This window comes from Homo sapiens, chromosome 4 (assembly GCF_000001405.40).
Source record: "Homo sapiens chromosome 4, GRCh38.p14 Primary Assembly".
In the NCBI taxonomy this organism is placed as follows: Eukaryota; Metazoa; Chordata; class Mammalia; order Primates; family Hominidae; genus Homo; species Homo sapiens.
This window is the reverse complement of record NC_000004.12, coordinates 88350965-88369548: the sequence shown is the minus strand read 5'-3', so window position 1 is coordinate 88369548 and position 18584 is coordinate 88350965. Positions and strand designations below refer to the sequence as shown.

At 40.7% G+C, this 18584-nt stretch overlaps 2 long non-coding RNA genes across 2 annotated transcripts; one reads left to right on the top strand and one right to left on the bottom strand.

The window, feature by feature from the left end:
- Nucleotides 1-7395: 7395 nt before the first annotated feature.
- On the bottom strand, nucleotides 7396-8086 carry LOC105377326 (uncharacterized). The gene is made up of 2 exons (XR_938964.2): nucleotides 7604-8086; nucleotides 7396-7499 (listed from the first exon to the last, which is right to left on the bottom strand). It is a non-coding gene; the product is annotated as an uncharacterized LOC105377326 (long non-coding RNA).
- Nucleotides 8087-10988: 2902 nt separating this feature from the next.
- Nucleotides 10989-17348, top strand: LOC124900731 (uncharacterized). Its single transcript, XR_007058173.1, has 2 exons — nucleotides 10989-11695; nucleotides 16153-17348. It is a non-coding gene; the product is annotated as an uncharacterized LOC124900731 (long non-coding RNA).
- Nucleotides 17349-18584: the final 1236 nt, after the last annotated feature.

Sequence of the window (18584 nt, the reverse complement as noted above, 5' to 3'; positions counted from 1 at the left end):
CACTGCACTGGCCTAAATGGTAGGATATTAACACTGATCCATTTGACTAGAAAGCCTGTTTAATTTTTACTAAAGTCTTAGAACACTCTTTATTCCCTGATCTTTCCTTTCATGCCCCCTAGTGGCACTTCCTTAAAACCATTCCAGCTAAAAACCTCCAATTCATCTTACATTTTCTTGCCACTGCAAAACTCTCAGGCCAGGGGCGGTGGCTCACACCAGTAATCCCAAAAATTTGGGAAGTCAAAGGGGAGGATAGCTGGAGCCCAGGAGTTCAAGACCAGCTTGGGCAACAAGGCAAGACCCTGTCTATACAAAAAATCGAAAAGTTAGCCTGGCGTGGTGGCACACACCTATGGTCTCAGCTACACGGGAGGCTGAAGCAGGAAGATCACTTGAGCCCAGGAGGTCAAGGCTGTAGTGAGCTGTGTTCACTCTGCTTTACTCTAGCCTGGGTGACAGAGCAAGACCCTGCTTCAAAAAACAAAAAAGGAAAACCCTCCCCTAATGGATTAATTGCTGATTGGCTGATATCATCAATATCCCATTTTCTATCTACTTCTTTCTGTCTCCATCACTCCTACCAGAGTTGAGGTCTTTGGCAACAACATCTCAAATGTCTCTATATCTAACAACTGGCATCACAAATAGATCCTTCTTATTCTCCTGAGTGTTGCCTGTGGAAAACACAGGTCTGATCACACCACTTATTTTTCTTAATGGTTGTAGGCCTTTTGCCTACAGAAAAACAAAGAAAACAAAATCCTTTGCATATAATTAAAGGCCTTCTATTATCCACTTGTAACCAACCTTTCTATATTTATCTCACTGATAGTTATAGTTATATATATCCCCCCCACCCCACCACACATACACAGGGACTACTGTCAAAATGAACTACTTGCCTTTTCGTGCTTGCTTTTTCCTAAATCGATGCCTCTATTCATTCTGTGGTTTCTCTGTGGAATTTCCTTTTCCTCATTTCTTTTTATGAAAAAACATGTCTTAAATGTCTCATCTCTGTGAAGCCTTTTTTTTCTTTCTTTCTTTTTTTTTTTTTCTTTCTGAGACAGGGTCTTACTGTGTTCCCCAGGCTGGAGTGCAGTGGTGCAATCATGGTCACTGCAGCCTCGATCTCCTGGGTGCAGGTGATCCTCCCATCCCAAGCCTCCCAAGTAGCTGGGACTACAGGTCTGTGTCACCATGCCCGACCAATTTTTAAATTTTTTGTAGAGACAGGGTCTCACTATGTTGCCCAGGCTGGTCTAGAGCTCTTGGCCTCAAGTAATTGTCCAGCCTCAGCCTCCCAAAGTGCTGGGATTACAGGTGTGAGCCATCACACCCACCCTTGTGGGAGCCTTTCTTAGATTCCACCACGTGAATTGCTCCTTTTTCTAGGCTCTATAACAAATAATGTCTTTTGTACACATTCTGATATGGTTTGGCTGTGTCGCCACCCACATCTCAAATTGTAGCTCCCATAATTCCCACGTGTTATGGAAGGGACCGGGTGGGAGGTAATTGAATCATTGGAGTGGGTCTTTCCTGTGTTGTTCTCATGATAGTGAATAAGTCTCATAAGATCTGATGGTTTTATAAAGGGGAGTTTCCCTGCACATTCTCTCTCTCTTCCCTGCTGCCATTTATGTAAGACATGACTTTGCTCCTCCTTTGCCGTCCACCATGATTGTGAGGCTTCCCCAGCCATGTGGAACTGTGAGTCCATTAAACCTTTCCTTTATAAATTACCCAGTCTTGGGTATGTCTTTATTAGCAGCATGAGAACAGACTAATGCACATCCCTCCTGCCAATTTAATACTAGTTTCATATTATATTGCCATATTATTCTATCTTCAGTCAATAGTTAAAAAAAAAAATCTTGGCCAGATGCAGTGGCTCATGCCTGTAATCCTAACACTTCAGGAGGCTGAAGTAGGTGGATCACTTGGGGCCAGGACATCAAGGCCAGCCTGACCAATATGGTGAAACCTCGTGTCCACTAAAAATACACAAATTACCTGGGCATAATGGTGCACACCTGTAATCCCAGCTACTCGGGAGGCTGAGGCAGGAGAATTGCTTGAACCTAGGAGGCAGAGGTTGCATTGAGTCGAGATGGTGCCACTGCACACCAGCCTGGGCAACAGAGTGAAACTCTGTCTCAAATAATAATAATAAAGTTTAAAAAATAAAAAATATAAAAAATCTTTACTGAATATCCACTATAGGTATAACAAGGAGCAAACAAAATATAATAATTACTATTCATTAGCATTTACTTTAGACTTTACAAAATCTTTCCAGCTATTTCCCTCGTGTGTCCTCATAACCACAGAGTAGTAGCATGAGAGGGCTTACAGAGCTGAGAGTAATTTGTCCTGAGCTTGCAGATGAGTAAGTAGAATAGTGTCCCTTTATCAAAGAATACTCACATGAAAAAACAGAAAATCAATAGAAATTCACTGTCATCATACCTCTAAAATCAAACTTTGAAAATTATTTATACCTAATATTTTATTCCAGTAGCCTATTTTTCTTTTTTTACTAATTTTCCCCTAACAGTGATTTACGGAAGGGAAGAGAATGAGAAAAGGAAAATAAAATGAAATGCCCCAACTGCCTACCACATCTGTCTCTTTCACAATACATCGTCCAATTTGAGCAACCTCCCTATAAGGTACATATTATCCATGTATTATCTACCCAGGTACAGATATGAACAACTTAAGCCTCAGAAAACTCAAGTGATTTGCTCAAGATAACTAGTAAGGAAGTAGGGGATCCCAGAATCAAACCCTCTTTCCACTAAACAGCCCTGACTCAATGTGAGGTGAGGAGGACATTAGAAAGGGGATGAGAGAGTGTGAGCTTCTGAAAGGTCATCATGGAGTGAGTGGGGTTGAGGAGACACAGATAGACCAGTGAGGAAGTAGAAAAAGCAGTCTGGGGGAAATCCTCCAGAGGCAAGTAGAAGAACATCTAAGAGGAGGCAGGAGCGCTGCAAGTCTCCATTGTTCTTTTGCCTTTCTCTTCTTAGACTGTCTTCTCTTTAACTCCATTGTTCTGAGTTCAAAGCCCACACTCCGTGCTTTCAGCCCTTAAGACAAATAAAAAAATAGAACACACTCCCTAATATGCTTAGTTTTTTATTATACTCCAGCTGCCATCTCAGTCACCTCCAGGTGGCTCCCTGGAATATTATCTAGTGTTTTTCTGTTGTTGTTGTTGTTTTTGTTTTTTTTTTTTGCAAATGGACAAGACAATTAGGATGGCCCAGCACAAGTCAGCTGGGGGAAAGAAAACATTTGCTAAAACCCGACATTGTCCTTATAGACAAGAAATGGTAGTTTTCAATTTGAACACTAGATAGAAGTATTAGTCACCTTAATCTCTTATCATGCCTCCTCTTTCGCGGTTGATATATGTCAATGGTTGACATCTCTTTTCAGTGGTAGTCTTATAATTATCCACATGAATTTTTATGGCTTTCTACCCCAAATTTGTTGCATAATTTTAATATTTACTTTTAAAAAATAAGAAATGTTATACTCATGTTATTACTATTACTATTTCTACTACAACATTGTCATTATCAGAATACTGCACTTATCAGCAATCTCAGAAATCCAGAAAATAGTCCTGACCTGGGAAGATAAAGGAAAAGGGCCTCTGAATCCTAGAAATGATTGTCATTCATACCAGCGGCTTCACGACACATTGCCCAACAACAAACTGAAGACTGCCTGAGATGTGTTTAAAACATTGTTGGCCAGGCGTGGTGGCTCACACCTGTAATCCCAGCACTTTGGGAGGCTGATGTGGGCGGATCATGAGGTCAGGAGATCGAGACCATCCTGGCTAACACGGTGAAACCCTGTCTCTACAAAAAATACAAAAAATTAGCCGGGCGTGGTGGTGGGTGCCTGTAGTCCCAGCTACTTGGGAGGCTGAGGCAGGACAATGGTGTGAACCTGGAGGCGGAGCTTTCAGTGAGCCGAGATCACGCCACTGCACTCCAGCCTGGGGGACAGAATGAGACTCCATCTCGAAAAAAAAAAAAAATCGTTTAACTTGGCCGGGCGCAGTGGCTCATGCCTGTAATCCCAGGGTTTTGGGAGGCCGAGGAGGGTGGATCACCTGAGGTCAGGAGTTCAAGACCAGCCTGGCCGACATGGTGAAACCCTGTCTCTACTAAAAATATAAAAATTAGCTGGGTGTGGTGGTGGGTGCCTGTAATCCCAGCTACTTGGGAGGCTGAGGCAGGAGAACCACTTGAACCCCCGGGAGGTGGAGATTGCAGTGAGCCGAGATTGCATCACTGCACTCCAGCCTAGACAACAAGACCAAAACTCCATCTCAAAAAAAAAATGTTTAACTTAATTTCTTAACCTAGGTGAACTAGTGGAGACTTCCATGCAAGTTTAGATTAATTTTACCTGCACATAATAAAGCTGTAAAAAATAATGGTTTAACAAATACAAGCTTATTTCTCTCACAGGTAAAAAATTCAGAGGTAAGCATGTTGCAAGAAGTCAGGGACCCCGAATGGAGGGACCCGCTGGAGCCACAGCAGAAGAAACATAAATTGTGAAAATTTCATGGACATTTATCACTTCCCTAATAATACTCTTATAATTTCTTATGCCTGTCTTACTTTAATCTCTTAATCCTGTTATCTTCATAAGCTGAGGATGTACATCACCTCAGGACCCTGTGATGATTGCGTTAACTGAACAAATTGATTGTAAAACATGCGTGTTTGAACAACATGAAATCAGTGCACCTTGAAAATGAACAGAATAACAGTGATTTTAGGGAAAAAGGGAAGACAACCATAAGGTCTGACTTGGGGTTGGGCAAAAAGAGCCATATTTTTCTTGTTGCAGAGAGCCTATAAATGGACGTGCAAGTAGGAGAGATATCGCTAAATTCTTTTCCTAGTAAGGAATATAATATTAAGACCCTAGGAAAAGAATTGCATTCCTGGGGGGAGGTCTATAAACGGCCACTCTGGCAGTGTCTGTCTTATGCGGTTGAGATAAGGACTGAAATACACCCTGGTCTCCTGCAGTACCCTCAGGCTTATTAGGGTGGGGAAAAAATCCCACTGTGGTAAATTTGAGGTCAGATTGGTTCTCTGTTCTTGAACCCTGTTTTCTGTTGTTTAAGATGTTTATCAAGACAATACGTGCACAGCTGAACATAGACCCTTATCAGGAGTTTTTGACTTTGCCCTTTGCCTTGTGATCTTGCTTTGTCCTTTGCCTTGTGATCTTTATTCGCCTCAAAAGCATGTGATCTTTGTTCTGCCTTTTGCCCTCTGAAGCATGTAATCTTTGTGACCTACTCCCTGTTCATACACCCCCTCCCCTTTTGAAATCCTTAATAAAACTTGCTGGTTTTGGGGCTCAGGTGGGCATCATAGACCTACCAATATGTGATGTCACCCTGGTAGCCCAGCTGTAAAATTCCTCTCTTTGTACTCTTTCTCTTTATTTCTCAGATCAGCCAATACTTAGGGAAAACAGAAAGAACCTACATTGAAATATTGGGGGCAGGTTACCCCAATATAAGCAGCCAAGGGCTGGGGTGGCAATGCTTTGGTTTTTTAGGGACTCAGTCACCTTCTGTGTTTCTGCTTCATTTGAGGACCTAACTTTCATCCTGCAGGTCACCTCACTTTCTAAGATTCCAGATGGAGTTCTAGCTATCACAACTCTATTCCAAAGCTACTAAAAGGAGGAAAGAGACTGTTATCCCAGAAATCCCATAAAACACTTCTGTGCACATCCAATTAACCAAAACTTATTCATGTGGCTATAGCAGCTGCAGAAGTTGCCGAAAATGTAGTTTTTAGCTCAGCACATTAAACTCCAAACAAAATTGGATTTCTGTTATCAAGGAAGGAGAGGCCAGGTGCAGTGACTCGCCTGTAATCCCAGCACTTTGGGAGGCTGAGGCAGGAGGATTGCTTGAGCCCAGGAGTTCAAGACCAGCTTGGGCAATAGAATGGGACCCCGTTTCTATTTAAAAAAAAAGAAAGGAAGGAGAGACGAGATATTAGGTGGCAATGAGCAGTCACTCCACAACCTACCAACAAGGAATTGGAGGTATTTGCTCCAGACACAAGTGGTAGGCAGGGTCCACTTCATGAGTGTGAAGAAAACTGAACTATTCACCTCAAAATATGCTTCTTTGACATATTCTGTGACTAGGGTGCCTGCAGACAGAGTGACCCTGCAAAGCTGTCTTTTGTGGGAGAGATTTGTATCTGTAGAGAAGATAAAGTGAACGAAACAATGGAAGCAAACAAGCTTTCTTTGAAGCCCTCCCTTGTCCAGATTTAGGAAAGGTTAGTGGAGACTCTAACATCTATTTATCAAAATTTACCATCTATTCTCTTTGAGGGCTGCTACCTGTGAGATTTCATCTATATAACCAGACCACCTTTGCTAGGCAAACCTCCTCTTCTCTTCCTCCCATGACCTGTCTTGCCACCACCACCAGATTTACTGCCATAACTTGTGTGGACATGCTCCAAACCCTTACCCTTTTTATGTATATATAATTTTTATTTTATTTTATTTTTTTGAGATGGAGTCTCACTCTGTTGCCCAGGCTAAAGTGCAGTGGCACGATCTCAGCTCGCTGCAACATCCCCCTCCCAGGTGCAAGCAATTTTCCTGCCTCAGCCTCCCAAGTAGCTGTAACTATAAGCACGCACCACCACACCCAGCTAATTTTTGTATTTTTAATAGAGACGGGGTTTCACCATGTTGGCCAGACTGGTCTTGAACTACTGGCTTCAAGTGATCTGCCCGTAGTTGGTTACTGGGATTACAGGCTGAGACACTGTACCCAGCCGAGGTCACACTTCTGTTAAACCAGAACTTGTTTCCAACACAGAAAAAAGGCAATGGCATTCCAAAAACACAAAGGAAAGAAGTGACCCTTATTATTGTCTTACTCCTATTACTTCTCAGGATTAGCCAGCCTCTTATGTTGAAAGTGATGACATAGAAAGAAAAGGGAAGACAGGGCAACCCATAATTTTTTTCCCTTTCAATCTTCCCTTATCATTAAGCCAAAAGTAAGAGTGTTAGTGGAATATGTGGGGCATTAAGAAGTGAAATAAAACAGATAAGTAAGTTTTGTGCAGTGTTTCAGTGGAAAGAAAGACGGGTAAGAATGAAATACAGATGCGTATAACGGCTAAAAAAATAAAAGTTGGACAATTTTGGTGATTTTGCGTACTAATTAAATGCTCTTATATTTGCATTTAAAACTGGTATGGGGAGGAAAAATCATTTTCTTCATCACTTTTCATGAATTCTTAGCTGGGACTCCCTGTAATAAAAGACAAATTAACAACAGAAAAACACACAGAGATGTAATAACATGTAAACCTCTTGTATACATTGGTGATAATCCAGAGAAATTAGTAAATCTCTAGAGTAGATCTTAGTCTTAGACTTCAGGCTGAAATACCATCATTTCTCTGAAAGAAAAAAAAAAAGAGTATAGGGAACAGCCAGTTAAGGTAAGATGGCCAGGAAAAACATTTTTAAAGATAAGCGTTGTTATGCAGATTTAAGTTGATACCTTTCTCCGTTAAGAGCCTCTAGTGGTTTAGTCATCCCTCTCTTCCCGGTGCAGAGGAGACACCCCCCAGATATTTTCTTCATAGATGTAAATTTCCCTTACCAAAGGGCAACCTTCATCCTTGTTTTCAGAGCTACTCCTGTGTCTGGAGTTTCTCAAAATAACCAGCTTGCGTCCGGAATTGGTGGGTTCTTGGTCTCGCTGACTTCAAGAATGAAGCCGCGGACCCTGGTGGTGAGTGTTACAGTTCTTAAAGATGGTGTGTCTAGAGTTTGTTCCTTCCCATGTTCGGACGTGTCTGGAGTTTCTTCCTTCTGGCGGGTTTGTGGTTGGCTGACTTCAGGAGTGAAGCTGCAGACCTTCGAGGTGAGTGTTACAGCTCATAAAAGCTGGCATGGACCCAAAGAGTGGGCAGCAACAAGATTTATTGTGAAGAGCGAAAGAAAAAAGCTTCCACAACATGGAAAGGGACCCTAGCGGGTTGCCGCTGCTGACTCAGCCGGCGTGCTTTATTCCCTTATTTGGCCCTACCCACATCCTGCTGATTGGTCCATTTTACAGAGAGCTCATTGGTCCATTTTACAGAGCGCTGATTGGTCCGTTTTACAGAGAGCTGATTGGTCCATTTTGACAGAGTGCTGATTGGTGCATTTACAAACCCTTAGCCACAAAAGTTCTCCAAGTCCCCACCCATCCCAAAAGCCCAGCCGGCTTCACCTCTCACCGGCATTCACCACAGGACTTTGCGGCACCTAGCCTGAACACTCCGACAGCCCAGAGGGAGCTTGTCCCAGACAATCAAGAGGAAAAGACGGTAAGCCATAAAGAGATGGAGACCTGCTATCCTGGCGAAGAGGGAATGGTGGTCCACACACGGGATTCAGCCTCGGATCAAGCCCAGCAGGTACCAGCTGGCCACGCCAAGTGTGGGGCTTGCCGAGCTGGTGCTCACCTGGAACCCGCGCCAGCCCAGGAGCACCGAGTGCCGCGTGCAGCCCCGGCTCCTGCCGGCACCTCTCTTTTCTTTTCTTTCTTTCTTTCTTTTTTTTTTAAGTATACTTTAGGTTTTAGGGTACATGTGCACAACGTGCAGGTTAGTTACATATGTACACATGTGCCATGTTGGTGTGCTGCACCCATTAACTCGTCATTTAACATTAGGTATATCTCCTAATGCTATCCCTCCCCACTCCCTGCACCCCACAACAGGCCCTGGTGTGTGATGTTCCCCTTCCCGTGTCCATGTGTTCTCATTGTTCAATTCCCACCTATGAGTGAGAACATGAGGTGTTTGGTTTTTTGTCCTTGCGATAGTTTGCTGAGAATGATGGTTTCCAGCTTCATCCATGTCCCTACAAAGGACATGAACTCATCATTTTTTATGGCTGCATAGTATTCCACAGTGTATATGGCAACTCTCTTTTCACACTTCCCCACAAGTGGAGGGAGCCGGCTCCGGCCTTGGCCAGCCCCAGAGAGCAGCCCTCATAGTGCAGCAGCGGGCTGAAGGGCTCCTTGAGTGTGGCCAGAGCGGATGCCAAGGCCAAGGAGGCGCCAAGAGCGAGCAAGGGCTGCTTCCATGTTGCCACTTCTCAAGCTCAATATAATTATTATGCCAAAGAGCCATATTTGGCATGGCATATTCTGGTTCCCTGGAGTCATATTTTGGGGTACTGTGTCCTGAGCCCCATCACTGGCATTGCACAATATAAAGATGAGGGTAGAATTGATGCTAGTGGTTTAAAGTGATACTTTACTTAGAACAACATTAAGGAGCAAATAAAAAAATACCATGACAAAGTAAGACAGTGTGGAAGAAAAGTAAAAGCTTTATATTTTAGTGCCTTGAATTGCATTTTTTTTCTTAGTTTTTGAACAAGAGGCTTTGCATCTTCACTTTGCATTGGGCTCTACCAATTATAAAGATGGTGCTGATGGCAGAGTCTAATAATTCACTCAGATTATGCAAAAACATTTATTTTCCACTGTAAGGTTCTTGTATCGGTTCGAACCCTGAGAGCATGCCAACAGACAACACGAGGTGGTGTGGAGCAACATGCTGTTTTAATGAGCGCCTAGGTGCTGGCCGGCTGAGGCCTAAAATGGTGTCAGCCCCAGGTGAGGACAGCGCAGAAGTTTTATAGCCTCCTGTAAACAGGAAGTGTCCTAGTCTGATGTAACTGCTACATTGTACCCAGATGGCCTCTTTCTCGGATCTTCGGTGGTACATGTCTTACGGCCAGGGTAGGTGTCTTCTGGTTGGCTCTCTTCCTGCTTCTGCTGTCTTGCTGACACACGCTGCTGATGCAGGTGGCCTTGCACCTTGGGACTGGGCCTGAGCAGGGAGGAGTCACTCATCCCCTTAGGCTTTCAGGCCCTGGGGAGAATCTTACAAGTTACCTGAAACTAATTATCAAGCCTCTATGCTAGTGAGTGGGGAAGGATCTTAAACTCATCATTTTAACTATCTCCATATCCTGTTTAATCTGTTTTTCAGGTAAATACTCCACTTTCCAGACATTCTTCCTTCCTGTACCACCCGAGTGCAGTGCCAATATGGGAACTACAATGAAAGATTGGAGGGAAAGGATAAAGTGGTTTATTCAAGTCAGGCGAGAAGGCTATTTCCTTGATAGTGTTTATCAATAGAGTTCATCATTGTATCACGAACTTTTATAGAAATTTCTTCACACTTTCGACCTTAATCATCACCAGTTTATACTGAGGGAAATAAAAATATTGAACCTCAAAATATATTTTGGGATAGCTGTCAGAGAGACAGCAAACAGAAGTAGCCTTGCAAAGCTTAGTTGGTATTTAAGCTTTTGTGGGGGGAATTTGCAGAGTAGGGAGGAGTAAAAGTAAATGAGAGAAAAATACTTAAGAAAGGACGTGAACAGAGGGATTGAGCACATAATTTTAAAAAGGGTTTCAGTCAACTGAAAAAAATGTTCATAATGGGATCCAAAGAGAAAAAGCAGAAAAGATATACATATATGTATATATATATACACACACATATATGTACACACATATATGTATATATTTGTGTGTGTGTGTGTATATATATATATAAATCAGCTTTTAATTGAGCTTATTTTAACCATAGAGCTTGCATTAGTCCATTCGTGCATTGCTATAAAGAAATACCTGAGACTGGATAATTTATAAAGAAAAGAGGTTTAATCGGCTCACAGCTCCACAGGCTGTGCAGGAAGCATGATGCTGGCATCTGCTCTCCTTCTGGGGAGGCCTCAGGAAGCTTAAAATTGTGGCGGAAGGTAAAGGGGGAGCAGGCATCTTATATGGCGGGAGCAGGAGCAAGAGAGAGAGAGAGGGGAGGTGCTACGGACTTTTAAACAACCAGCTCTCCCAAGAACTCACTATCACAACAGCACCAGGGGAATGGTGCGAAACCATACAGGAAGGATCCACCACCGTGATCTGACACCTGTACATGTCTGAAAGAAACATATACCACCTATTCTCTCTGAGAGCTGCTACCTGTGAGGTTTCCTCTACATCACAAGACCATCTTTGCTAGCCAGGCCTCCTCTTCTCTCCTTCTCATAACCTGTTTTGCCGTGATCCAAGCCCCCGTTCTTTCTGTAACAAGATGGTATATAAGCTTTTGCACCCCACTGGGGCAGGGGTGGGTGATCACTCTGTGATGCTCCCCATGTACACATTCATAAAATGTGTATGCCTTTTCTCCCATTAATTTGCCTTTTGTGAGTTGACTTTTTTGTAAACTGTCTGAGGGTAAAGGGGAAGTGTTCTCTCCCTTTGCCCTACAGTTTTGGCACTGTGAGCAGGATCACCAAAGCCGCTCTGTTTTTTTGGAAGCAGCAGTGAGGGGAATCTAAGCCCTGATTGGCCAGCATAAGGGTAAGAATTTATTATTTTATTTTATTTTATTTTATTTTTTGAGATGGAGTTTTCACTCTTGTTGCCCAGGCTGGAGTGCAATGGTGCGATCTTGGCTCACTGCAACATCCGCCTCCCAGGTTCAAGCGATTCTTCTGTCTCAGCCTCCTGAGTAGCTGGGATTACAGATGCCTGCTACTATGCCTGGCTAATTTTTGCTATCAGGTAAGAATTTCTTATCAGCCATGCCTCTGGACCCACTCTCTCTCTCTCTCTCTGTGGAATCCTGTCAAGCAGATGGTAAAGGTCACTGTTTCTTTTTCCCCTCTGAAATCTTGATTAATGGGAGAGAAGGATTTGTGTGAGTATTTGTAGGCATAGAGACTCTGGCGTGCTTTTCAGTCATTCGTGGTATGGAGGTACCTATTGTTTGATCCCTTTCTTCCCAGAAATAGTATTTTCCTTGGTCTTTGTCTTTCTATGTTGTTCTGTCATAAAGAGAGGTATCAGATAAGTTTCCCGCTCATCTTGTTCTATGTCCTCAAGAGCTTGACCTGTGACTAAGTGGAAGCAATCTCTCTGGGTCTCTACCATCTGGGGTGCTTGATTTCTAGGTCATGTCAACTGGTCAGTCTGAAAGTAGCTGGGAACCTGAGACTTTGTTCTGAATGTGTCAAGCTCTTGAGAGAGTCTGTCATAAGAAGTCTATCCATAAAGGGCTTTTGTCACCTCTACCCTTCTTGACTGGTTAGTGCTGGGAAAGTCCAATTCCAGAAGGGCCTACCCGACGTCGCATATTAACTGGTCTGTGATTGACAGTCCCCCACAAATTTGTGGGTTACTGTCTATGGGCAACAAGAGTCTTCTGCTGTCTTGGCCTATTCTTGAAGTTAATTTTTCAGGGAGGATCTTTGGGACAGCCTCTTCTGTGCCCTCTCTGAGAAAATGCCTTCTGAACCTGGATAATTAGACCCTGGGCTTTCCATAAGGAGGCTATTGGAATGAGTCACTATTGGAATAAATGCACCATTGGAAATTCAATGGCCAGGAGATGTATCCTTTAAACTAGATTCCTACATTTTTGTGTTGTTGTTAGAAACAGAGTCTTGCTGTGTCACCCAGGCTCTGGAGTGCAGTGGTGCAATCATGACTCAAGAAAGCCTCAAACTCCTCATCACCTAAGTGATCCCCTGCCTCAGCCTTCCAAATAGCTTGGACTATAGGTGCATGCCACCATGATGGCTAATTTTTTTATTATTATTATTTTGTAGAGACAGTGTCTCACTATGCTGCCCAGGCTAGTCTCAAACTCCTGGCTTCAAGGATCCTCCCATCTCAGCCTCCCAAAGTGCTGCGATTACAGGCAAGAGTCATCACACCAGCCAACTCCTAAATTAAAAAAAAAAATTTAGAGATATTTTATTTTAAAAAGTTAATGGAAGCTCAAATTAAAAGAAAGAGACATAATAGTGTCATGACTAGCCTTAGAAATTCTCTTGACAAAATTAAAGAGCAAAAATCTGGCCTAAAACAAAGTTAAAATCCTTTGTAAGCTCAAACTTCCTGCTGTGATCCCCTGTAGGGTTCACAATAAAGGTGGCTTTACTTTGTAGTCCTGTGATTTACAACTGCAGTCTGGGTTTGATTCCCAATCAGAGAACTAAATTGAGTGAAAATCAATGAAATTGGCCTCCTTATAAAATCCTATGGTAAGTTCCCATGCTTCTGTGTAACCTTGGCATCCATTTCTAATATTCCTATAACACTCTCAAATTCCTTCTTAAAAAGATTTAATTCTCTCTCTATGTGCTTTGAGATGTAAATTTGTTACTCTGTTTTCTCTAAAACCCAGTAGGGTCTAAGACCATGTGAGATTAACTTTTTCATGTACAAAGGCGCAGTTTTAATCCAACTGTCCTTTAAAACTAGGTAGTTTTAGAAATCTATGTCTAAAAATTTTAAGTCAAAGATATAAAGTCTTTGTGTCTGTCTTTATTTTTATGCCTACGTGTCTATGTTTATATATTCTCTGTATGACTTTAAGTAAATGAGTACTCATGAATTAAGTAAATAAGCCCTAATGCTTTACAAGTTCATGTGATTTTGTTAATCTTTGGTAAAGAGAGTTATACAATTTTGATAAAATAGAAATGTCTTCATAATTTAACCTAGAGTTTTTTGCTGGATCTATTGGTCAGACAGATTTATACTGTCTCTACTGTATGTTTTAAGGTCATAAAACTGTTACTTCTTTGGGAGGCCGAGGTGGGCAGATCATGAGGTTAGGAGTTCAAGACCAGCCTGACCAACATGGTAAAACCCCACCTCTACTGAAAATACAAAAATTAGCTGAGCATGTTGGCACGCACCTGTAATCCCAGCTACTCGGGAGGCTGAGGCAGGAGAATCGCTTGAACCCAGGAGGCAGAGGTTGTAGTAAGCTGAGATTGTGCCACTGCACTCCAGTCTGGGTGACAGTGTGAGACTCTGTCTCAAAAAAACAAAACAAAACAAAACATAACAAAACAAAAAACAAAATAAACTTTTACTTCTGTGATATTTTTGATACTTGCTTTTTTTGATAGTTTGTAAGCTTATGCCTTTGGAGTTCAGCCTTTAGATTCTGAAGTCTAGGCAAATGACCATGGTGAAACCTGGGACAATACCTGGGCCCTGTCCCCCTGGCCTAGCTATGCCTCTTGGCCATGCTGAGAGGAGTTAGATCCTCCAGGCATTGTCTTCATGGCTCTGCATCTGGTACATAATTAAAATTGCTTTTTTCCTAGGTTTTTCACTGAAAATTAGGGTTACTAAGAGTTAACATTATACTTAACATATGTAATTAAAACTACTAGATATAAGAAAAGCAATTCTGTATGCTGAAGTATATAAGAAAAGTAAAATGCATTTTTGGTTAAAAAAAGTTTATAAAAAGGCATGAGAATATGGTTTTTGTTAAAGGAAAAGTAATTTTGCATAGTTTAGAGGTTTTTAAAAGCTGTTTTAAATTTTAAGAATAAGAAAATTGGTAACACTGAATGAACAGAGAAAGTTGAGGAAATGAGAGTGGGAAAATTTGGAATGATTTATAAAAGGTTTATGGAAATCATAATTTGTGGTCAAAACTGAGATGGCTGAATTTGTTCATACAGTTTTATTAAAATTAACTTTAGCATAATAATATACTGATGTAAAGTAGACTTTGGTTTTCTAGAAAACAAGATTTTTGTAAATAATAAGAGATAGTAAAAAGGTTTGTTTACCTCTTAAGTAAACTGCAAAATAAAGAGAGAGAAAAAATAGTTTAAGTTTGCCTTGTGGTGTCTTTATTAGGTCTTATGATTGTTGGGGAAACTGAGTCTCTTCACTATCAAAGAGTAAAGATTTTTGCTCTTGAAATTTTTTTTTTGAGATGGAGTCTTGCTTTGTCCCCCAGGCTGGAGTGCAGTGGCTTGATCTCGGCTCACTGCAACCTCTCCCTCCAGGGTTCAAGTGATTCTCCTGTCTCAGCCTCCTGACTAGCTGGGATTACAGGTGCCTGACACCACAGCTGGCTAATTTTTGTATTTTTAGTAGAGATGGGGTTTCACCATGTTGGTCAGGCTGGTCTTAAACTCCTGACCTCAAATTATCTGCCCACTTTGGCCTTTCAAAGTGCTGGGATTATGGTGTGAGCCACCATGCCTGGTCCACTTTTTGAAATCTTTTAATTATCATTTTGGGTAATTAAAAGATAATTAAATGATAATTTATCCAAAATGGTAATTTATCCAAAGTGATAATCGTAGTGACCTGCAATCCTATTTTGACCAAGTGTTTTAAAACTTTAATATTTGATATTCTTCCCAAAAACAAAATTTCTAATTCTAAATTCAGTCATTTTTATCTCAAACTAGCATTTTGGATATTAGGGTCCCTAGAAATACAAGAGAGACACATTAGGCTTATTTGATATGTTAAGATCAAATGGGAAGCATCGTCAAATAAGAAATGGTGGTTAACTTTCTCTGAGTTATATTTATATAAATGTGTTATTGATATATATTCCAAAATTGTAATTTTGGATAATTAAATTACTAAATTTAATTACTAAAATTCTGATATGTGTTAGTATATGTTATTGGTAATAATTATAATTATTATGTTAAATTATTGTTTTACTTTGTTTCTTCTCAAAAAGCAATTTATAATTGGTTATAGTCCAAAATTTTCTTCTTCAAGGAAATTTATGGAAAGGAACCTAACACATATTATTGAATACAGATTTCTCATAACTTTGGAGGTCATACCATTGGTCTAGGTAGAAAACGTCTAGGACTCTAAAAAGATGATACATTCATGAAGATTGCTAACCCAACATCAAATGGAACAAGAATTAATTACATCAGACTAAATTAATAGAGGACTGAAATAAGTTTTGTGACTTTTTTTGGTTTGAAACATGGCTGATTCTTTTTGTTTTGTTTTCCATGGTCAAAAAAACTTTTTTTTTCTCCCTTGAGCTATTTATAACTTACAACAATTGGGTTAAATATACTTTTGTGAGCACATGTGAATCATTTAGCTTTCTCTAAACCTAATTTCTCCAGAATTTGGAAACTATTTGTGAGTATTCTTAATTTATGGCAATATAATTATTTACATAAGTTCAATAAGAATCTTTTTTTTCTTTTTAATAAAAGGACACAGTTAGAGGCACTGGTTATTTTACCAAGGCTTTGACTGGAATGGCATATTTTCAGACATGAACAGACTGCTTTAAGGAATTCACATTGACTTTATTGAGCTGCTAAGACATCCCTTGGACAGACTGGCCTGGTAATTTTTCTATGCAGTTCCTTTACAAGGTTCCTGAGCTGTGGTGAGAATGCAACATTCTGACAGGCCCATGCACCTCAAGTTATTTTGAGACCTCAAGAAAAGAGAAATTCATCCAATTTGTACAGGTATTGAAGACAGTATGGTGGCAAATCCTTGGCTTGGCTTTCCACCCTCAAGGCTTTTAAAAATGTAATCTGTCAGATTGCCACTGCAGTCCAAAGATGCTCCAGAGACTCCAGAAAGACTATTCTATAGACTACTCCAGTCATTAACCTTAATTTTTCTTCTGTATCCATAGAAATGCCTCTTATTAAAGATCTGTTTTCCTGCATCATACATAGAGGCCTAGCCCATCCGTTATGCCACCTCCTGGAATGGGACACAGCTGTTTAATTGAGCTGATCTATCCTCAGAACTAAGAGACTGACTAAAGAAGATATGGAATTCTATATTTAACTTTGCTCTTTTCTGCTTATCCCAATTGTTTTTTCCACTTTTCTTCTATATCTAACAACCTCTAACCAAAGTCTCTCCAAAGCAATCAGCTTGGCCTTTAAAATGTGAAATTTTAAAGTTTCAAAGTGGGGACTAAAGGATATCAAAATATTTTATCCCCCAAAATATATTTCTTTGACATATTTTGAGATGGCTGTCAGAGAGCTAGCATACAGAAGTAGCCCTGCAAAGTTATATCTTGTGGGGGAAATTTGCATCTGTAGAAAATCTGCATTGATGAAGCCAGGCCTTCCCTTGTCTAGATCTGGGAAAGATTAACTGAGAGTCTGAAACACCTTTAAAGGTCTGAAAGAAACATTTGCCATCTATTCTCTAACAGGACTGCTACCTGTGAAGTTTCAACTATGTAATGAGAACACCTTTGCTAGCCAAGCCTCCTCTTTTCTCCCTTTGGTAATCTGTTTTGCCACAGCCGAAGCCCTCATTCTTTTTGTAACCTCAAGATGGCATTTAAGCTTCTGCATTCCATTGCGGGGTTGGGTAATCACTCAGTAATGTTCCCCATGTGTATGCTAATAAAATGTGTATGCTTTTTCTCCAATTAATCTGCCTTTTGTGAGCTGATTTCTCATCAAACGTTCAGAAAGCAAATGGGAAGTTGTCCCTTTGGCCCCTACAATGATATCTAGGAAAACTTGAATCAGAATGTAGCAATTCAAATGGTTGAGTTACAGAAAACTTTTGAAGGACTATAGTAAACAGCCTGTTCATATCAGTAGAGATTTGACTTGTTGAATTCTAAAAAAATGCAAACCATGATTGCTTCTAATTCCCCCTAGTTAATACTCATTAAATGCTTTCTAAGTTGCAGGCCCTGTCCTTGGAGGTTCACAGGAATTATTCTGTTGAATCATCACAGCAACACTATCAAGAAGGTACAGTTATTATCCTTATTTCAAGTAAGATGGAACTGAGGCATTAAGGAATAAAGTAACTCACACACCCAAGAAGTGTTGTAGCTGGTATATGATACCAGACAGTCTGACTCCAGAGCCTTCACTCTTGGTACACATAAAACGTATTAATTTTCTCAAGAAAGCACAGGAACTTATTTATAATTGAATTAAATTTATGGAATTTATTCTCACTAGTGAATTGCCTTGTGATATTTGGCAGACTTGCAGAGGCATCTGATGGATGTAAAATCATGTCATCAGAAGAGAGTCATAAACTTGGATAAATGTGTCACCATTTGTGTTTATGGGGACTTCCATGAGAGGGCAAACCTCAGGATACACTTAAATCATCAAACATCTGGGGAGCTCTAAGTTTCAGGAAAATCTGAAAGGGACTAGGGATGGTAAGGAGCTGTAGTAACGCTGAAATGATAAGGGACAAGTGTTGGATCTGCCTAGAAACCCTAGTGCCTCTAGTTTTATAAAAATTACAATTTTTTTGAAATTTTCTTAGAAAACAAAACAAAACTCTAAGAACCAACACCCATGAGATAAACCTAGAGTCAGAATAAAAATGTATCCCTATGGCTCAGGAATAAATCAATCCTTCAAATACTATTAGCTGTACTGACTTTGTGAGGACCTCCTGGGTCACCAAGTTGGTATAAAATTATCTTAAGCTGAAGACTTTTATGATACAACAGATGCAGAAAGAAGCCTTCTTGGAGCTTCCCTTATCTGACTATCGCAGAAACTTCTGAGACATGATGACTGCCGTAAATTCTCTTTTGAGGGAAGCTTCTACTCCCAGGAGAGAGACCAAGAGTGTACCTACCATAATTCCTCTCTGGGGTTGTGGGGAAGTTTTATGACCGTGAAAA